At 40.9% G+C, this 20,302-nt stretch overlaps 1 protein-coding gene across 11 annotated transcripts in view; it reads left to right on the forward strand.

The window, feature by feature from the left end:
• The window catches only part of TDRD9 (tudor domain containing 9), a 124,212-nt gene that overhangs the window by 16,018 nt on the left and 87,892 nt on the right, over positions 1–20,302 (forward strand). For all 11 annotated transcript variants that reach the window (XM_006720019.4, NM_153046.3, XM_005267309.5 and 8 more), the window contains exons 2-3: positions 11,191–11,297; positions 18,606–18,703. In XM_006720019.4, coding sequence (XP_006720082.1) covers positions 11,191–11,297; positions 18,606–18,703 — 205 coding nt within the window. The remainder of the gene's footprint in view (positions 1–11,190; positions 11,298–18,605; positions 18,704–20,302) is intronic.

Below are 20,302 nucleotides of genomic sequence, written 5' to 3' on the forward strand. Positions count from 1 at the left end.
TTTTCCTTTGAACTCTGATTTTATTTATCTTCACTGTTAAACTTATAGAAAGACTGGTTTGGTCTGTGTTTCTGTTCTCTCTCCACCCCGCCCCCCACCCTTTTTTTTTTGAGATGGAGTCTTGCTCTGTCGCCCAGGCTGGAGTGCAGTGGCGTGATCTTGGCTCACTGCAACCTCTGCCTCCTGAGTTCAAGTGATTCTTGTGCCTCAGCCTCCCTCGTAGCTGGGATTACAGGCGTGCACCACCACACTCAGCTAATTTTTGTATTTTTAGTAGAGATGGGGTTTTGCCATGTTGGCCAGCTGGTCTTGAACTCCTGACTTCAAGTGATCTGTTCGTCTTGGCCTCCCAAAGTGCTGGGATTACAGGCGTGAGCCACCGTGCCCGGCTTCTTTTCCCTTTTTCCTAATGCTTTCCAATTAGATCCTGCTGTGTCCTCTACTGTAATTGCTGGCTTTCAGTCACTTAACAGATATCTATTGACTGTCTGCCAGGGCCTGAATAGTTAGGGGCTGGGGTGTAGCAGTGAACAAGAAAGACCTAGTTCCTACTCCCAAGGAGCCAGCCTCCAAATGTGAAGACAAATATAAGTACACAAATCAGTAAGGTAATTATAGATGGTCATAATCTATTAATATACTTGGAACACTTCTCCCACTTAGAACTGGAGGTCAGAGAAGACCTTTTTGGGTAGGAGGTATCCTTTTAACAGAGATTTAGAGATCAATGAGCTAGCCACTGGAAGAGCTTCTTGAAGGCAATCTTCCTTCTCCACTTACTTGTTTGACACCTTTCTTGCCATTGAAACCATTACCAAAGACCTTTTCAGAACTTTTCTTACCACCTTAACTCACATTGAGTATACCTTCCTTTGAAGTTAATTGTGTAAACCAATTTTTCTAGTACTTAGTGTGTGCTACTTGCCTTACAGATTTTATTTTGTCCTGTCTCCTGAGATTATCAGATTGAAGTAGAGACCCAAATAATTCTCTGATTACAGTATTTCTTCTACTGCTGTGTAGATAGAGAACATAAATATTTGTAAGCAAAGGTAAGGAAGTATCTTGGATTGTATTTATCTTACATTATAATGAGTTGAAAAAATGAATTGTTTCTGATGAATTGCAAACTTCCTAGGATATTTTGTGTGGACGACATAAAGCTTAAGCTGTTAGGTCCTTTGCTTTTTGGTCATTGTCATAGTTTTCTAGTTTACACCTTGTTAGCTAAGTATTAAATTTTATAAGACTTAAAATGAAATAGGACCGTATCATGCATAATATATGTGTGTCTATGTAAAATTTTAAGATCTGTAAGGAAGTACATAAAAAGAAAAGTTTAGAAAGACAAAATTTTGGAACCTTGAAAAGCAAGCTAAGGAGCCAGACATAACTTTTTATATATTACAATCAGGGCTGCTTTATATAGTATTCAACAGCACTTGATTGCAATCAAAGAAGGATTTTTCATTGTGGGAAGACTCATATCTTTCTGTTTTTTTTTTTCTTTTTTTGAGACAAGGTATTGCTCACCTAGGCTAGAGTACAGTGGCATGGTCATAGCTCACTGCAGCCTCAGCCTCCTGGGCTCAAGAGATTCTCCCACCTCAGCCTCTCAAGTAGCTGGGACTATAGGCACGTGCCACCATGCCTGACTAATTTTTAAATGTTTGGTGGAGACTGGGTCTCACTCACCATGTTGCCCAGGCTGGTCCTGAACTCCTGGGTACAAGCAATCCTCCCACCTCAGCCTCCCAGTGTGCTGGGATTATAGGCATGAGCCACTGTGCCCAACCTGTTTTTAATTCATTTTGCTACTGAATTAAAAGTTCTGGGTTATTGATTCATTTTTCTTAAGGTAAAAAGTACATTTCTGTGGAGTTGTTCATATTAAAAACTCTCAACAAACTAGAAATAGAAGGAAACTACTAGCATAATAAAAGCCATATGTGAAAAGCCCACAGCTAACATCATACTCAATGGAAGATTGAAAGCTTTTCCTCTAAGATCAGGAACAAGGTGAGGTTGCCGCCTTTCACCACTTTTACTTAACTTAGTACTAGAATTTCTAGCCAGAGCAATCAAGGAAGATTAAGAAATAAAATGCATCCAAATTACAAAGGAAGAAGTAACATTATCTCTGTTTGCAGATGATATAATTTTATATGTAGAAACCCCTAAAGATTCCACAAAAACCTGTCAGAACTAATAATTGAATTCAGCAAAGTAGCAGTCTACAAAGTTAACACACAAAATTCAGTCTCATTTCTATACCCTAACAATGAACAATCTAAAAAGGAAATTACAAAACTATTCTATTGGTAATAGCATCAAAAAGAATAAAATACTCAGGGATTAACCAAAGAAGTGAAAGTCTGGACAATGAGAAGTGCAAAACATTGCTGAAAGAAATTAAAAACATAAGTAAATGGAAATACATCCTCTATTCATGGATTGGAAGACAATATTGTTAAAATGTCAGTACTACACGATGTGATCTACAGATTCAATGCAATCTCTGCCAAAATCCTAATGACTTTTTTTTCATAAATGGAAAAATCCATCCTGAAATTCATATGGAATGTCAAGGAACCCTGAATAGTCAAAACAATCTTGAAAAAGAAGTACAAAGCTGGAAGACTCACATTTCCTGATTTTTAAATTACTACAAAGCTACAATCATCAAAACAGTATGGTATTGGCATAAAGACGCATAGACCAATGGAGTAGAGAGCCCAGAAATAAACCCTCACATACATGGTCAATAATTTTCAGTAAGGGTGCCAACACCAATTAAGGGGAAAAGGACAGTTTGTTTTTTTTGTTTGTTTGTTTGTTTTGTTTTTTTTGTTTTTTTGTTTTTTTTTGTTTTTTTAGATGGAGTCTCTCTCTGTCGCCCAGGCTGAAGTGCAGTGGCGATTTCTACTCACTGCAAGCTCTGTCCCCCAGGTTCATGCCATTCTCCTGCCTTAGCCTCCCGAGTAGCTGGGACTACAGGCGCCCGCCACCACGCCCGGCTAATTTTTTTGTATTTTTAGTAGAGATGGGGTTTCACCGTGTTTGCCAGATGGTCTGGATCTCCTGACCTCGTGATCCACCCGCCTTGGCCTCCCAAAGTGCTGGGATTACAGGCATGAGCCACCGTGCCTGGCCAGGACAGTCTTTTCAGCAAATGATGCTGAGAATAGTGGAAATCCACAGGCAAAAAAATGAAATTGGATTACTACTTTACACCATATACAAAAATTAAGTTGAAATGGATTAAAGCTCAAAAGTAAGACCTAAAACTGCAAAACCCTTAGGGGAAAACTGAGGGCACAAACTTCACATCGTATGTGGCAATAATTTCTTGGATATGACACCAAAGGCACAGGCAACAAAAGAAGAAAGACAAATTGGACTTGAAAGATTTGTATATCAAAAAACTGAACAGTAAAAAGGCAGCTCACAAGATGGAGAAATATTTGCAAATCATGTATCTGAAAAGGGATTAATACATAGAATGTATAGAGATTTCCCAAAATGCAACAAGAAAAAAACAGATTTTTATTTTTTTAAGAGGGAGGGTCTCACTCTGTTGCCTAGGCTGGAGTGCAGTGGTGCAATCATAGCTCACTGCAGTCTCGACCTCCTAGGCTTAAGGGATCCTTCTGCCTCAGCCTTCCAAGTAGTTGGGACTATAGGTGTGCAGCAGCGTGCCTGCTATTTTTTTTTTTTATTTTTTGTAGAGACAGGGTCTTACTATGTTGCTCAGGCTGGTCTTGAACTCCTGGTTTCAAGTGATCCTCCCACCTTCACCTCCCAAAGTGCTGGGAGTATAGGCATGAGTCATTGCACCCGGCAAAAAAGTTGATTCAAAATTGGCAAAACAGGAGTTGGTGAGGATGTGGAGAAATTGGAACCCCTGTGTACTGTTGGTGAGAATGTAAAATGGTGGGGCTGCTGTGGAAAACAGTATGGTGGATCTTCAAAAAATTAAAAATAGAATTACTATATGATCCAGCAATTTCACTTTTGGGTATATACCCAGAAAAGTTTAAAGGAAGACCTTGAAGAGATGTTTGTACACCTGTGTTCATAACATCATTATTCACAATAGCTAAAACGTGGAAGCAACCTGAGTGTCCATATCCATAGAAAGGAGTATTACTCAGCCTTGAAAAGGAAGAAAATTCTGACATACGCTCTGACATAGATGAACCTTGAGGACATTATGCTAAATAAGCCAGTCACAAAAGGACAGATACTTTAGCCAGGCACTATGGAGTGTGCCTGTAGTTCCTTCTACTTAGGAGGCTGAGATGGGAGGATTGCATGAGCCCAGAAGTTTAAGGCTGCAGTGAGCTATAATTGCACCACTGCACTCCAGCTTGGGCAACAGAGCAAGACCCTGTGACAGAGTGAGACTCCATCTCAAAAAAAAAAAAAAAAAAATCCTTGAAAGGACAAATACTCTGTGATTCCACTTATATGAGATTCCCTAAAGGAGTCAATATCATAGGGCCAGAAAGTAGAATGGTATTTGTTGGTGGCTAGGAATAGAGGGAAATGGGGAGTTATTGTTTAATGGGTACAGAGATTGTTTTACAAGATGAAGATTTCTGGAGATGGATGGTGGTGAAGGTTGCATAACATGAATGTATTTAATACCACTGAACTGTACACTTAAAAATAGTTAAGATGGAGGATACCTTTGTTGAAAGAATTGTGAATAGCATGATTCATTTCTAGCAGAGGCTAAGTTTAGGACAGCAGCTTCCATTGAGAAGTCTTTCTGTGTCATGAATAGCATTTTAATGACCTCTTGGCTCACATAAGCAAACAACAGGGATGTATCTGCTATGAAAATCCATGAAGCAGGGGTCTAGATGAGATTATATGATGATGTCTTGCAATGTGTAATTCATTTTGCTAGTAGAAGAATTCTTTGTAGAAGTTGGCAGATTGAAGTGTTTTTCAGGGGAGTAAATCCTCCAAACAAAAACAATCCAAAATATAGTCAGTTCAAGTCCTGATTTTAGTTCTACTTTGACCTCTGATTATAAACAATTTCATGTATGTTCTTACTGCTTCTGGTTATGCCACCCAGGGAGTCGTGCAATATGCATAACACAATGGTCAACCTCATATATTTGTGATTGCAACAATAACTTTGAAGGTTATGACTCATGAAGACACAGAAGCTCTAAACGCTGGCTTTGCCAATTTATTTTATTTTATTTTTGAAACAGGGTCTCACTCAGTCGCCCATGCTGGAGTGCCATGGCAGGATCTCGGCTCACTGCAACATCCGCCTCCCAGGTTCAAGTGATTCTCCTGCCTCAGCCTCCCGAGTAGCTGGGATTACAGGCGCCCGCCCCACCACTGCACCTGGCTAATTTTTGTATTTTTAGTAGAGACGGGGTTTCAACATTTTGGTCTCGAACTCCCGACCTCAGGTGATCCGCCCGCCTCGTCCTCCCAAAGTGCTGGGATTACAGGCATGAGCCACCATGCCCGGCCAGCTTTGCCAATTTAAACAAATCAGGCCCTGCCCTGCCCTGCCCTGCCCTCTTCTGTTTCCTTCCTTCCCTTTTTTTTTTTCTTTTGATGGGCCCTGCCCTCTTTCCTTCCTTCCTTTTTTTTTTTTTTTTTTGATGGAGTTTCGCTCTTGTTGCCCAGGCTGGAGTGCCGTGGCGCAATCTCAGCTCACCGCAACCTCCGCCTCCCAGGTTCAAGCGATTCTCCTGCCTCAGCCTCCCTAGTAGCTGGGATTATAGGCACGTGCCACCATGCCTGGCTAATTTTGTTATTTTTAGTAGAGACAGGGTTTCTCCATGTTGGTTAGGCTGGGCTTGAACTCCCGACCTCAGGTGATCCAACTGCCTCAGCCTCCCAAAGTGCTGGGATTACAGGCATGAGCCACCGCATACGGCCGGTTTCTATTTCATAATCAAATAAATGTCCCTTCTTCCACCACAATGATTAAACTATGTATTTGGTTCCAGGAGGTATTTTCTTTGTCAGTTATTGTGCTGAGCAATTTAATCTTGAATTTAGAAACTAATCTTCTTATGAAGAACACAGGAAGATGACGCCAGGTCTAGGACTTGGAAGTCTGCATTATGGAAGGATATGGAAATGTGACATTTGATCACGGGAGGTTAGAGAGAATGTTAGAGGTTCAGTCTAGTAAATAATGGACCAGATACACTATGTGAATGAAATATTGTGTACCTCATCTATTTGCTCATCAAACGCTTAGCAAAAACCGCATGTGTGAAATGTGTCAGAGTCAAAATGGAGTCATTAATGTTAAAACCCTGACGAACAGAGCCAGGGAAGGCCATGAAGAGAGGAGTCTCACACTTGTATGTTTTATAACAAAAAAGACTCTACAAAACCCACAACCTTGCACAAAGGCCATCACAACCTTTCTAAAAGAATATTTCTCCAAGGACATCTGCCCAGCCACTGCTTGACCAGCTTCAGACTAGCATCACCCTGTTTGTGATCTTTGTAGCCAAGGATAATTATTTCAGAACAATTGTGTACTACTAATTTTTCCCTTTAAAACCTTTGTCTTTCTTTACTTCCCTGAATACACAAATCATTTACTGTGCTATGTGTAATTCCCATCGCAATGCTTTATTCCCAAATAAAGATCTTTCCTTGTTAAAAAACCAACAAAAAAAATCCATCAATTTTTCAGAGAGTGCCCTAAACACAATTTTATATGCCTCACTGGTTGTTAGGTTATTCCTGCACTTGACTTTATCATTGTTTACTACTAGTAAAAAGCAGCATTGCCAAATAATCCCTGATTTTCCCCTAAAATGATGTTAAGCTTTTTGAAAAGTTCAGGTTAAACTTACTGTTGTTAGATTAATGTATTTGTTGCTTCCCTTTATCTGGAATGTGTCATTAGCTTTTTTATTTTAACCCCCTTTAATTCTTAATTCCATGACTTAAGGTTTGAGAGCTAAACACTGGGACTTCTGGATAACACACTGATAGTTTGCATAATTATAATCGGCATTGTACATAGAAAGGATATGGCTACCTTTTGTTAAATCTGCACTTTCTAAATATCAAAAAAGGGAAATGAAGTATAAATTTTTGTATAATCTGTTTGAAACATTTTATTTGCTTAATATTAGGGCTTTGCCCCTTTCCTGTAAGTCTCTTGGGATCCTGTGTAGAAGCTGTTCTCATTAAACACCAGTTAAGTCCATTCTCTGGTACTAGCTACTAATTCAGTTTTATATTCTACTTCACAATTTAAATAAACTGAAATATTTCTTTTTTTTTCTTTTTTCTTTTCTTTTTTTTGAGACGGAGTCTTGCTGTGTCGCCCAGGCTGGAGTGCAGTGGCGTGATCTCGGCTCACTGCAAGCTCCGCCTCCCGAGTTCACGCCGTTCTCCTGCCTCAGCCTCCGGAGTAGCTGGGACCACAGGCGCCCGCCACCATGCCAGGCTAATTTTTTTTGTATTTTTAGTAGAGACGGGGTTTCACCTTATTAGCCAGGGTGGTCTCGATCTCCTGACCTTGTGATCCGCCCGCCTCGGCCTCCCAAAGTGCTGGGATTACCGGCGTGAGCCACCATGCCCAGCCATAAAAGGAAATATTTTTTAAAAAAAGTAGTTAAGATGGCAAGTTTTATGTTATATATATACACGTATATATATATATGTATATACGTGTATATATGTGTATATATGTGTGTGCGTGTGTGTGTATATATATATATATATATATATATATATATTTTTTTTTTTTTTTTTTTTTTTTTTTTTTTTTTTTTTGAGGCAGAGTCTCGCTCGTTCGCCCAGGCTGGAGTGCAGTGGTGCGATCTCAGCTCACTGCAAGCTCCGCCTCCCGGGTTCACGCCAATCTTCCTGCCTCAGCTTCCCGAGTATCTGGGACTACAGGCGCCCGCCACCACCCCTGGCTAATTTTTTGTATTTTTAGTAGAGACGGGGTTTCACCGTGTTAGCCAGGATGGTCTTGATCTCTTGACCTCGTGATCCGCCCACCTCGGCCTCCCAAAGTGCTGGGATTACAGGCATGAGCCACTGTGCTCGGCCTTATGTTATATATATTTGCCACAATAAAAAGATTGAAAAAAATGCAGTTAATATTTAAGGAGAAACTGATATTGAATTTCTTTTTTTCAGTATTTTAATTAAAATACTACTGCATTTACCTTTTAAAGTTAAAAGTCACATTTCTATGCGTTTCATTCTTATCTTAGTGATTTATAGGAATTCTCTCTCTTTTTTTTTTTTTTTTTTTTTTTTTTAAAGACAGAGTCTCACTCTGTCGCCCAGGCTGGAGTGCAGTGGTGCGATCTTGGTGTACTGCAACCTCTGCCTCTAGGTTTCAGGCAAATTCTCCTGCCTCAGTCTCCCGAGTAGCTGGGATTACAGGTGCTCGCCACCACGTTGGGCTAAATTTTGTATTTTTAGTAGAGATGAGGTTTCACCATGTTGGCCAGGCTGGTCTCAAACTCCTGACCTCAGGTGATCCACCCGCCTCGACCTCCTAAAGTGCTAGGATTACAGGCGTGAGCCACCGTGCCCAGCCAGGAATTAAAGTTTTGCTGCAAATGTTTTCTTTCAGATGATCACCTGCTCCCCTTCACCTGGTCAGAGCCATGCTGTTAAACTAAAAGTCAGATATTGTTATTTCTCTCTCTGCTCAAAACCCATCTTATTCAGAACAAAAGCCAAAATCTTTATAATTACTCCCAGCTCCTCCCTGATACTTCCAGCTCTTCTCCATACCCTTCTGCTCCCTACCCTCCATTTCTCATCATCCTCTTCCCGCCCCCTCCTGTGGGAGCCACCCAGGCATCTTGACTCTCTCAGCTGCACCTGGTACACTGTTATTGTTGAGTGAATTAATGAGTAAATGTCAGGCAAACAGTAACCAGAGGAATGCTGATATTTTGGAACAGGTAAAAGTTGGCTTTGATGCAAACAGCATTTTATTAAAGTGTATTAGACAGGATTCTCCAGAGAAACAGGACTAATAAGATATATATAGATCTGTAAGAGGGGGAGATTGGTGATGACACTTGGTGCACGTGATTATGGAGGCTGAGACGTCTCACTATATACCTTCTGCAAGCTGGAGAAGAAGGAAAGTTGGTGGTGAAATTCAGTCTGAATTTGAAGGCCTGGGAACCAGGGTAACTGATGCTGTAACTCCCAATCCAAGACAAAGCCTGAGAACCTGGGATGGGAGATGGCTGGTGTGAATCTCGGAGCCTGAGGGTCTGAGAATCAGGAACTCTAGTGTCCCAGGGCAGGAGAGACTGGATGTCCCAGTTCAAAAAGAGAGTATTTACCCTTCCTTATCCTTTTTGTTCTGCCCGGGTGGACTCTCAGTGGACTCGGTAATGCCCATCCATGTTACTGAGGCAGGTCTTCTTTACTCAGCCTACTGATTCAAATGCTAACCTCTTCCTGAAACACCCTGACACAGCCAGAAAAAATGTTTTACCAGCTATCTGGGCATCCCTTGGCCCAGTCAAGTTGACATAAAATTAATCATTACATAAAGTTTGTCTCAAATTTCAAGAATCAGTATCATATAGTCTCTTTGACAACAGTGCATTTAAACCAGACACTGATGAGGAAAACATAGTTGATAGCATATAATACATATCACAATTGTCTTTTTTCACTTAATATTCTGGACATGTTTATCTATTGGCATGAATAGAGCCATGACACTTTCAAAATGATACACATTAACTAAGGTATGCCATTGTTTTAGCTTGTCCCCTGTTGGACATGTTTTTCAGGTTTTAATTATTACAAATATTATGAAAATATACCCTTCCTCCCTGGAATCCTTAATAGCGTCACCCGATTTTAATTTTGTCCACATCTCTAATCAGCATCTTACGTATCTATTATGTCTCCTTCACAAGAATGGTAGTTTCATGTGGGCAAGGACTTTGTTTTGTTTCCTGCTATATCTTTAGTGTTGGAGACAGTGCCTTTTGTGCAGTAGGTGTTCAGTAAGTATTTGCTAAACAAATGAATGTTTCCATGCATGTCTTTGCACGTGCTTCGTTTACATGTGCTGATGTTTAACAAAGATTCTGAGGAAAAGTTGGATTGTAGGAGACGTGTGTTTTAAGTTTTGGTTAGTTTTTAGTTTTTATTTGATTTATTTTTTTTGAGATGGAATGTGGCTCTGTTGCCCAGGCTGGAGTGCAGTGGCACCATCTTGGCTCACTGCAACCTCCGCCTCCTGGGTTTAAGTGATTCTGCTACCTTAGCCTCTCGAGTAGCTGGGATTACAGGGACCTGCCACCACACCCAGTTAATTTTTGTATTTTTAGTAGAGACAGGGTTTCACCATGTTGGCCAGGCTGGTCTTGAACTCCTGACCTCAAGTGATCCGCCCGCCTTGGTCTCCCAAAGTGCTGGGATTACAGGCGTGAGCCACTGTGCCTAGGCTGTTTATTTTTTTTTTGAAACAGGGTCTCGCTTTGTTGCCTAGGCTGGAGTGCAGTGGCATAATCTTGGCTCACTGCAACCTCCACTTCCTGACTCAAGGGATCCTCCAGCCCCAGCCTGCTGAGTAGCTGGGACCACAGGCATGAGCCCACACCCGGCTCATTTCTATATTTTTTATAGAGATGGGGTTTCACCATGTTGCCCAGGCTGGTCTCGAACTTCTGAGCACAAAGTGATCCAGCCGCCTTGGCCTCCCAAAGTGCTGGGATTACAGGTGTGAACCACCATGCCTGGCTGTTTTAAGTTTTAATTAGCTGATTTCAGCTACTCAGGAGGTTGAGGTGGGAGGATTGCTTGAACTTAGGAGGTTGAGGTTACAGTGAGCTATGATCACAGCACTGTACTCTAGCCTGGGTGACAGAGAGAGACCTTGCCTCAAAAAAATGATACTGCAAACTACCCTTCAGAATAAGTGGTCATACCCATTTACCATAAATGTATCTCTCCTCATAAATATTCTGAAAATATTTGCTCTTTTTGCCAATTTGATGGGTGAAAAAATGGTTTGTCATTGTTTTAATTTGCATCTGCCTGGTAACTGAGTTTGAGTGTATATTCATTTGTTTATTGACTATTTGCATTTTTTCCTGTGACTTAATGTGAAAAACTTGTCTAGTACACAAGGGTTTCTTGGCTTTTTGGAAATAGTATACTAACTTTTACTATTCTTTTCAGGTCACTCAGCCAAAGGAGCTCAGAAGTAGAGTATATTAACAAATACAGACAGCTCGAAGCACAAGAGCTTGATGTGTGTCGCAGTGTCCAACCAACCAGTGGGCCAGGTAAACAGGTCTCTTTAAATATTTTAGATAGGATGCATGAGTGGTTCACATGCTAAAATATTAGGTTCATAGTGCATGCCTGTAATTCCAGCTACTCAGGAGGCTGAGGTGGGAGGATCACTTAAGGCCAGGAATTTAACACTAGCCTGGGCAACATGGTGACACTCTGTCTCTACAAAAAATAAAAAAACTAGCTGGATGTGGTGGTGTACATCTGTAATCCCAGCTACTCGGGAGGCTGAGGTGAGAGGGTCACTTGAGGCTAGGAGTTCAGGTTCATCCTGGGCAACATACGGAGACCCTCTCTTTAAAAAAAAAAAAAAAAAAAAAAAAAAAAAAAAATATATATATATATATATATATATATATATATATATATAATTATTAGGCCAGGCGCAGTGGCTCATGCCTGTAATCCCAGCACTTTGGGAGGCCGAGGCAGGTGGATCACGAGGTCAGGAGATTGAGACCATCCTGACCAACAGGGTAAAACCCCGTCTCTACTAAAAATACAAAAATTAGCTGGGTGTGGTGGCGTGTGCCTGTAATCTCAGCTACATGGGAGGCTGAGGCAGGAGAATCACTTGAACCTGGGAGGCAGAGATTACAGTGAGCCAAGATCGTGCCACTGCATTCCAGCCTGGCAACAGAGTGAGACTCCGTCTCAAAAAAAAGAAAAAATTATTAGAAGCCTTTAAGAAATATAGTGGCGAATACAAAAATTAGCCGAGCATGGTGGTGCATGCCTGTAGTCCCAGCTACTGGAGAGGCTGAGGCAAGAGAATCGCTTGAACTGGGAGGCAGAGGTTGCAGTGAGCTGAGATCATCCTAAATAGTCTGTTCTTCGGAAGACTAATAATGGTTTCTTACCTTGCTATTAATTAAAACTACTTTTTTTTTTTTACAATAAAGATATTAAAATGACATTTTAAACAATGCAGAAATGTATAAAATAAAAAAGTAAAAGGTCCTTCTTAAATTCCCAGTTCCCAAGAGTACAACTGTTCAGAGTTCACCGTTAGTTACTTTCTGTGAGTATGGAGTTTTTTTCTGAGCAAATTATCTTACTAGCACCAGGCCCTATTCATATGCTAGAAGTTATCTTTTGATTTTTTTTGCTTTATGAGAGGTCATCTGTCATAGATTTCTGCTAGTTCAGTTGAGAAGCTCTGCCTCCTGTCCTGCCATCCTGCGTATTAGTGTGCTCAGAGTCGGGCACAAATGTGGGTTCAAGTAACACTTTCTTTTTTAGCCTTTTAAAAAGTATGAAATACAGTCAATACATAATAGTAGATTAATCCTTATCATTCTTGGGATTGATTTAGGCTTCTTGACTATACCAATTAGTACCTTTTAATTAGTCTAGGAAAATTCTGAGCCATCATCTATGGCCCACTCTTTCATTTAGTTTTGTGTTTTTCATTTTTTTGGTCAGTGTGCTCTGTTCTGGTTAATTTCTGCTAGATCTATCACCTTAAGGTAAAAGCAGCCTTTGGTTGTTTGCCTCCCTTTCTGTGTTCTTGCCTCATCACAGGCTTTGGCCTGATGTCTCCTTGCTATTTCATCAGCCCTTTGGTGCTTTTAAGGAGAGGTTTGTGTATTTCATCTAACATCTTTAGTTGATCTCAGGAAGGAGATTTGTCTGAACAACCCAGTGTATTAACAGAAGTGAGCATTCACAGTGTATGTTATCTCTGGTCCAATTTCTACTTATGCTAAGAAAAGTACAAAGTTGTACGTATAAGAATGTTTATTGAATTGTTACTTAATCTATGGGAAGTCTTAAGAATCTCCTATATGCCAGTGAACAGAGGATTGGTGACTTTGGTCTTTTGTACAAAGGAAGAGTACTGTGCAGCTTTGGAGGTAGGAAGTAGCCGTATGTGTTATTGTGGAAAGAGAGCCATCATCTAATACTTCTGTTTGGAAAGCACATTAGTTAGTTTATAGATGACTCTGTGTGATGTGATCCTTCTTGTCACACTCACGTACTGGCCCAGGGGCACAGGCAGCAGCCCGGCACACCCTGCGTGCTGGGCCTGTAGCGTGCCGGATGGATTACCACTCTTTAGGACTAGCTAGATTACAAATGAATGCCTGAAACTCGAAGTGTCTGTTCTCATACTTTTAAGTTCATATGTGAAACTCTCTTTGCTTTCTTTATGCATGGTATCATAATATATTTGGGGCTTTTCTCTGGGCAGTCGGATCAACTATGGCTTTGGCTATTTATGGAGGTTTGGGCTACTTAGCCACTGACATTTATCAAGGTGTGTTCCAGGGACTGTATGAGACAGCGAGAATATGACAAGTAAAAAAGACTTTAACTCTGATCATCTCTGATCATTGTAGAGATGATCATTTAGTCATCCAGTTACACAAATAAATGCTTTTTGGAAATAAGTTATCTGAAAGCCAGCTCTATGGGGGTGTAAAACAAGGATTTGACTTGGGCTGTGGTGTCAGGAAAGTAACAGTTGAGCTTTGATCTGAAGGGTGAGTGGACCTTACTGAGGCAGTGTGGGGGTGCAGGGAGGGAAATGTGTGCAGAGGCCTTGTGCTGGGAGGAAGCCTGGTATTCCAGCCCTGAAAGAGGGGCCAGTGCTGCTAGGGAGTAGACAGTGGGTGTGGGAGGGCTGGGCAGGGTCAGCTGGAGGCTAATAGCCTCCTAAAGAGGTCCATGTTCTAATCCCCAGGACCTGTGAATATATCACCTTCATGGTAAAGGGGTCTTTGCAGATGCAAATTAAGGATCTTGAGATGGGAAGATTTTCCAGGTGGGCCTAATGTCATCACAGGGTTTTTCCTAGAGGGAAGCAGGAAGATCAGTCAGTAGTAGATGTGACAACAGAAGTCATAGGTTGGAGTGATACAAGGAAGAGGCCATGAGCCAATGCAGGCAGCTTCTCCATGGCTGATAAGGCAAGGGAATAGATTCTTCTTTACAGAGCCTCCGGAAGGATCCAGCAGCCATGCCAACACCTTGTCCTTCTCATCTTTGAACCTCTGCTTCCAGAACTGTAAGAGAATAAATGCATGTTTTAAGCCACTAAGTTTGAGGTAAAATGTGACAGCAGCAGTAAAAAACTAACACACTTGTATTGGATGAGGTTGGATGAGATAGGCAAGACTAGTAATAGGGCCTGTGGGCTGTAACGAAGAGTTTTGGTCTTAATACTCAGAGCAGTGGGAAGGTATGAAAGTTTCCATGCTTTTCTTGGGATGACTGTGAAGGGAGGAAGAGGGTGTCATGTGTTTAGATTTGTGTTTTACAAAAAGTGCTTTGGTCATATTTTTGAGAGTTGATTGGAGGGGGCCAGAGTGGACCTGAGGAGAATTGGAGGCATTGTCCTAGTCCAGGTGAGACTTGATGGTGTCTTTGACAGAGGATGGCAGTGGAGGAGGAGAGCCAGTTGAAGGACAAACCGGACAGGAATTGGTGATGCCTTGGACACAGGGTGAGGGAGGAGGCCACAGGAGGCAGAGAGGTGCTGTCCACTTCTTTTTCCTTGAGATGAGGTCTTGCTATGTTGCCCAGGTAGGCCTTGAACTCCTAGACTCAAGTGATCCTCCAGCCTCAGCTTCCTGAATAGCTGGGACTGTAAACATGTCACCGTCATGTCTGCTAAATGTTTTGAAGTGTTGAAGTGCCTCTGGAGCACTGAAGAAGTAAGGTCAGGTTATCGTGTGTGTGTGTGTGTGTGTGTGTGTATGTATACATACACACACACACACACAGACACAAAGCTATTTCTATGTCTATTTCTATTAAAACCATGAGATTACACTGATGCCTCTAATTCCAGTCCAGTGCCACAGGTTTCAGCATGAACATTTTGTTATATCCAGTTATAAAATAATTTGATTCAAAACACTTTTGATTTTGGCCTGATACAGGTGTTATTTCACTTATAAGTATTAAAAATTATTTCTAAATAGAAATCCAAGGACACCCATTCAGTGAATTTCTATCGATTACAGTAGAATCATTTTACATGGTTAAAGATTAATCATTTTTTAAAAACTGAGATTTATTTGCATTGATAAATGAAATCTTTCCTTACAGTGTGAGCCTAGTTCTAGGTTGTCGACTCCTGAAGGGTTCTGTTGCTTTCACACAACAATTTGAATTTGTCCTGGGATACAGTCTTTAGATTGTAGTTAAATTCCACAGTGCTGCCTCCTTTTAAATGTGGTGATATATTTAGTGGCTGTTTTCATCCTCCTTTTAGCTTTTCTTCTGGTTTTAAGAGAATGGCCTATGTGGAATGTCTAATAACCGAAAGAGAAACATTATTCTTCCTTCAAGTTAATTTTGTATTCAGAATACTAGTCCATATTTGGAGAAAGTCATATATAATTATCTATTTGGAAGATTTAATTTTATGGTTACATCAGTAATCCAGTAATTAAAATTATTTTCTGTAATATATAGTGTGTAGATTTGAAGATAAGTCTTAAGTTCACCATGTGAACTGACATACTTACCAGTTAAAATTCCTTACATGCTGTTTAGAACCTCTAGGTGCTGAACTTTTTGGTTAGATTTCATATTTGGTTGATGGTGATATAGTGATATGTCTTAGTGAAGAGAACTAGCAATTTTTATGGCTTCCAGTTTTCCCCAGTTCATGTAAAACATTGTGTTGTTAATCATGTAGGATAAAGAGACAGCAAGAAAATAAGAATAGTCAATTTTAAGGTTGAGCTGGTCCTCATGCCGTTTTTGGATTTTTGCTTTGTTGTATGTAGTTTGTTGATTTGCCTTAAATTATCCGTGATGGATTTCCTTCTTATTCTGTTGCTGATGCAAAGGTGCGAGAGCCACACAGCTGGGAACATTTCTGCTGTTTGGTTTCCTGTCTGCCCTTTGGCAGTGTACGCGGAGGCAGGACTTGATTTGTGCTGGGTCTGCTTCAGCCAGTGACCTAAAAATGTCAGCTTGTGTTTTGCGTTACATGGAGAAGGGGCTATGGTATAGACAGTACCGTTAGGACTTCTGGCATTTTTTCTTGTAAAATTTCTGTCTTTAAGTAGCAGTCTTCAAAATGCATGTAATCAAGTAATGTAAGCCAATATTGTCTAAGTAACAGGGCTTGTTTAGCGGCATGTGAGCCAGGGCTTGAAGTCTTTTAGCAAAACGAACGTGGCTGCAGCCTTTTTCGTCTTTCTAAAAGAATCTTTGTCACCTTCTTTCCCCTTTGAGTAGCTCTTCCTCAGCTTCTTACTCCCACCCTGTTCCTCACTAGAATACTTGCCTCTCCCTTTGTCTGCATGCTGTGTCTGGGCTCAGGGCCTTCTTTCTCTCAGTCCAGTTCACAAGGGCCATGGGGATTCTCTTCCCCTTCTTTCATTATGTTCAAGAAGGCCTAGGTATATTAACTGGGAAAACAAGAAGGCATCAGTAATTACCATAGCACTGAGAAGAGGAATGGAAGGAAAGTGAGACGTGATAATGGAAAGAAAATCCCTGTTTTAGTAAACTTGGCAATCACTAGTTAGGCTGATTAGAAGATTAAAAAGCCATAGGTCAGGCGTGGTGGCTCATGCCTGTAATCTCAGCAATTTGAGAGGCCGAGATCAGGAGTTCAAGACCAGCCTGACCAACATGGTGAAACCCCATCTCTACTAAAAATACAAAAATTAGCCGGGTGTGGTGGTGGGCACCTGTAATCCCAGCTACTCAGGAGGCTGAGGGAGGAGAATCGCTTGAACCCAGGAGGCAGAGGTTGCAGTGAGCCGAGATCGCGCCACTGCACTCCAGCCTGGGGGACAGAGCAAGACTCTGTCCAGAAAAAGAAAAAAGAAAAAGAAAAAAGGAAAAAAAAAAAAGCCATATCGGCAGGACAGCTTTCCTGAGTTAGGGGTCACTAATATTTTAGGAAGAACATACTCACAAAGAAGCTATTTTTGCTTTGAGAAAGTATGACAGATCTGGTTCCTCTGTTTATATAATTGAGAACAGGGACCACGTAACTTTGATTCAAATGTGGGAAAATAGCCACATTTTAATTACATGTTATTAGACCAGTTAGGAAAATGGGAATATATGTAGGGAAAAGATGTAGGAAAACAAGAGAGAAGCCTGGTTGTGTGTTTTATTAGGAAAGGCCGAGGGTGACACAGCAGGAGATGCTGGTCAGAAACAAGGGGCTGATAGGAAGGGAAGGTGAGTCGTGGGGTAAGGGAATGAGTGCGGTGCTAAATTTGGCTAAGAGTTTATTTTGGAAGTAAAACTTATTTCCCAGCAAAAGTTTGTCTTCCGTGAGTTTTGATGATTTGCCAGTTTGTCAAGTGATGACCAGAGGTTTAGAATTTGTAGTGCAGCCAGAGAGCAGGGCATGTTTTTACAAGAGGGCAGAGAAGTGTGCCTGGTCAGAGCTCTGTGTCATGTATCCTGAGCAGAGGCAAGCTGCCTGCTTTCCTGATACCTGTATTTCATAAATTGTTTGATTTATTTATTGCTATCACTGATGTATTTTAGTAGCAGGGAATGCACACTTAAATTGATGCATTCTGTTGAAATTTCAAGGAAAAGTTTTCTCTTTAACTGTTTTGGTACCACTGAATCAGCAATGAGTGCGTGTTTTACAGGCCTGTTTTAGAAGGCAGTGCTGAGCTTGCAATATTGGTGGCTGTGATGGAGGGATAGAATGTTCTCAGTTTGCTTTTATACAAGATTAATAGTGGGCTGCTAAGGGAAGTTTCTTAAGAAATTAAACTTTTTATTTTAGATTCGGGGGTGCATGTTCAGGTTTGTTACAAGAGTATATTGGGTGATGCTGAGGTTTGGGCTTCCACTGATCCCATCACCTGTATAGTGAACACAGTACCCAGTAGGAAGTTTTTCAGCCCTTGCCCCTCCCTCCCTCTTCTTCTTGGAGTCCCTAGTGTCTGTTATTCCCATCTTTATGTTCGTGTGTACCCAAGGTTTAGCTCCCAGTTGTGAGAACATTTAATATTTGGTTTTCTGTTTCTGTGTTAATTTGCTTAGATGGCCTCCAGCTACATCCATGTTGCTTGCTGCAAAGGACATGATTTCATTCTTTTTTATGGCTGCATATTATTCCATGGTGTATATGTACCATGTTTTCTTTATCCAATCCACCATTGATGGATACCTATGTTCGTTCCATGTCTTTGGTATTGCCCTGATGGCAGTTTTAGCCTGTAGAAAATGTATTTTTGTATTTGAGTGTGTGTGTGTGTGTGTGTGTGTGTGTATGCTGTATCTATAGATTAGAACATTGAGTTATCTTTTTCCAGATAAGAAATGGCATTGTATTTGTTTGTTTTGCCTTAATCCAGGTCCAAGGCCATCTTTGGCTAAATTAAGCAGTGTGACATGCATCCCAGGGACAACTTATAAATATCCTGATTTGCCTATAAGTCGATACAAGGAAGAGGTAAAATTGTTTTGTTATACTGTAATTTTGCTGTTTGAATACATGTCTGAGGCCCAATACTTTTGGTTTCTAATTTGAAAGTTACCAGTTGCCAGGTGAACACTTCTGTGGTGTACAAGGTTCTGTGGTGGATAAGAGGAGGGTGTGCTCAGGCCAACCTGCAGATGATTTTGTGTAGTAACCATATCGATGGCTTTTCTTTTGATCTGTGCTTTAATTTCTTTAGTCTTCGCCTGAGTACATCTTCTAACATTTAGTTTATCTAGTCTTTCCTTCCTCAAAATATCTGCAAGTAAACACTTAGTCTTCCCCAGGAGAGCTTCTTGTTTAAATAAACTCACTGCTAAATGTTTTTATGAAGCAAATGACATACCCTAGCATTTCCACTGGGTTTTCTTTACAGCGTTGGCCCTTTCTCTGCCTGTTGATTAATGTAATCAATCATTGACATACCATTGTATTAACAATGCCAGGCAGATGTAACAGTAGGACGATTAAGTTCCTAATTACTTGCGTGTTATTAAGCATCGTTAAGAGTAAGCGTATCGGAACCTTTATTAACTGGAAGAAGGAGTTACAGATAAAACTAGAAATGTTTCAAATTTAATTTTTACTTTGCTTTAGAGTAAATCATGCAACTAAAAATTAGAGGCCAGTATTCAAATTAATTTGTATTTCCTGACCATATCAATTGTTAGAAGGATAAGAGCTTAAATAAGTTTAGAGTGGAGGTCGGGGAGTTCTGGAGGAGGAATTTGAGTGGAGTTTTAAAAATGCTGCATATAATCTGTAAGTGGAAAAGTGGAAGTTACTTGTTTCCAAATATGTCTGGAGGTGGGAGGATCACTTGAGGCCAGGAGTTCCAGACCAGCCTGGGCAACATAGCAAGACCTCATCTCTACAAAACACACCCCCCAAAATTAGTGGAATATGGTGGCACGTGCCTGTGGTCCTGGCTTGGGATGCTGAGGTGGCAGGATGGCTTGAGCTTAGGAGGTCAAAGCTGCAGTGAGCCATGATTGTGCCACTGCACTCCAGCCTGGGTGACAGAGCTAGAGCCTGTGTCTAAAAATAAATAAACAGATATTTAATAGATAAAAATATGTCTGAAGAATTTAAGATGACATTTTAAAACCACTTGAATGTAGTAACAGCTCTTTTTCTCATGTTCAGTAGAATTATTTGCAGATTCATTACAAAATGTTAATAGAAACTTGGGAAGAGTCATAGAAATCTAATTTTACATTTTCATTTTTACAGAAGCAGTTGAGACCCAGGAAGCTGGAGTTAACCTGGCCTGGTTTTTCCACAGCTATCACTAGTTACTATTTTTTTTGTTGTTGTTTTTGTTTTTTTGTTTGTTTGTTTTGAGATGGAGGCTTGCTCTGTCGCCAGGCTGGAGTGCAGTGGCACGATCTTGGCTCACTGCAACCTCTGTCTCCAGGGTTCAAGCAATTCTCCTGCTTCAACCTCCCAAGTAGCTGGGACTACAGGCGCGCTACCATGCCCAGCTAATTTTTGTATTTTTAGTAGAAGCAGGGTTTCACCATATTGGCCAGAATGGTCTCGATCTCTTGACCTCGTGATCCGCCCGCCTTG

The sequence above is a fragment of the Homo sapiens genome, chromosome 14, assembly GCF_000001405.40.
Source record: "Homo sapiens chromosome 14, GRCh38.p14 Primary Assembly".
In the NCBI taxonomy this organism is placed as follows: Eukaryota; Metazoa; Chordata; class Mammalia; order Primates; family Hominidae; genus Homo; species Homo sapiens.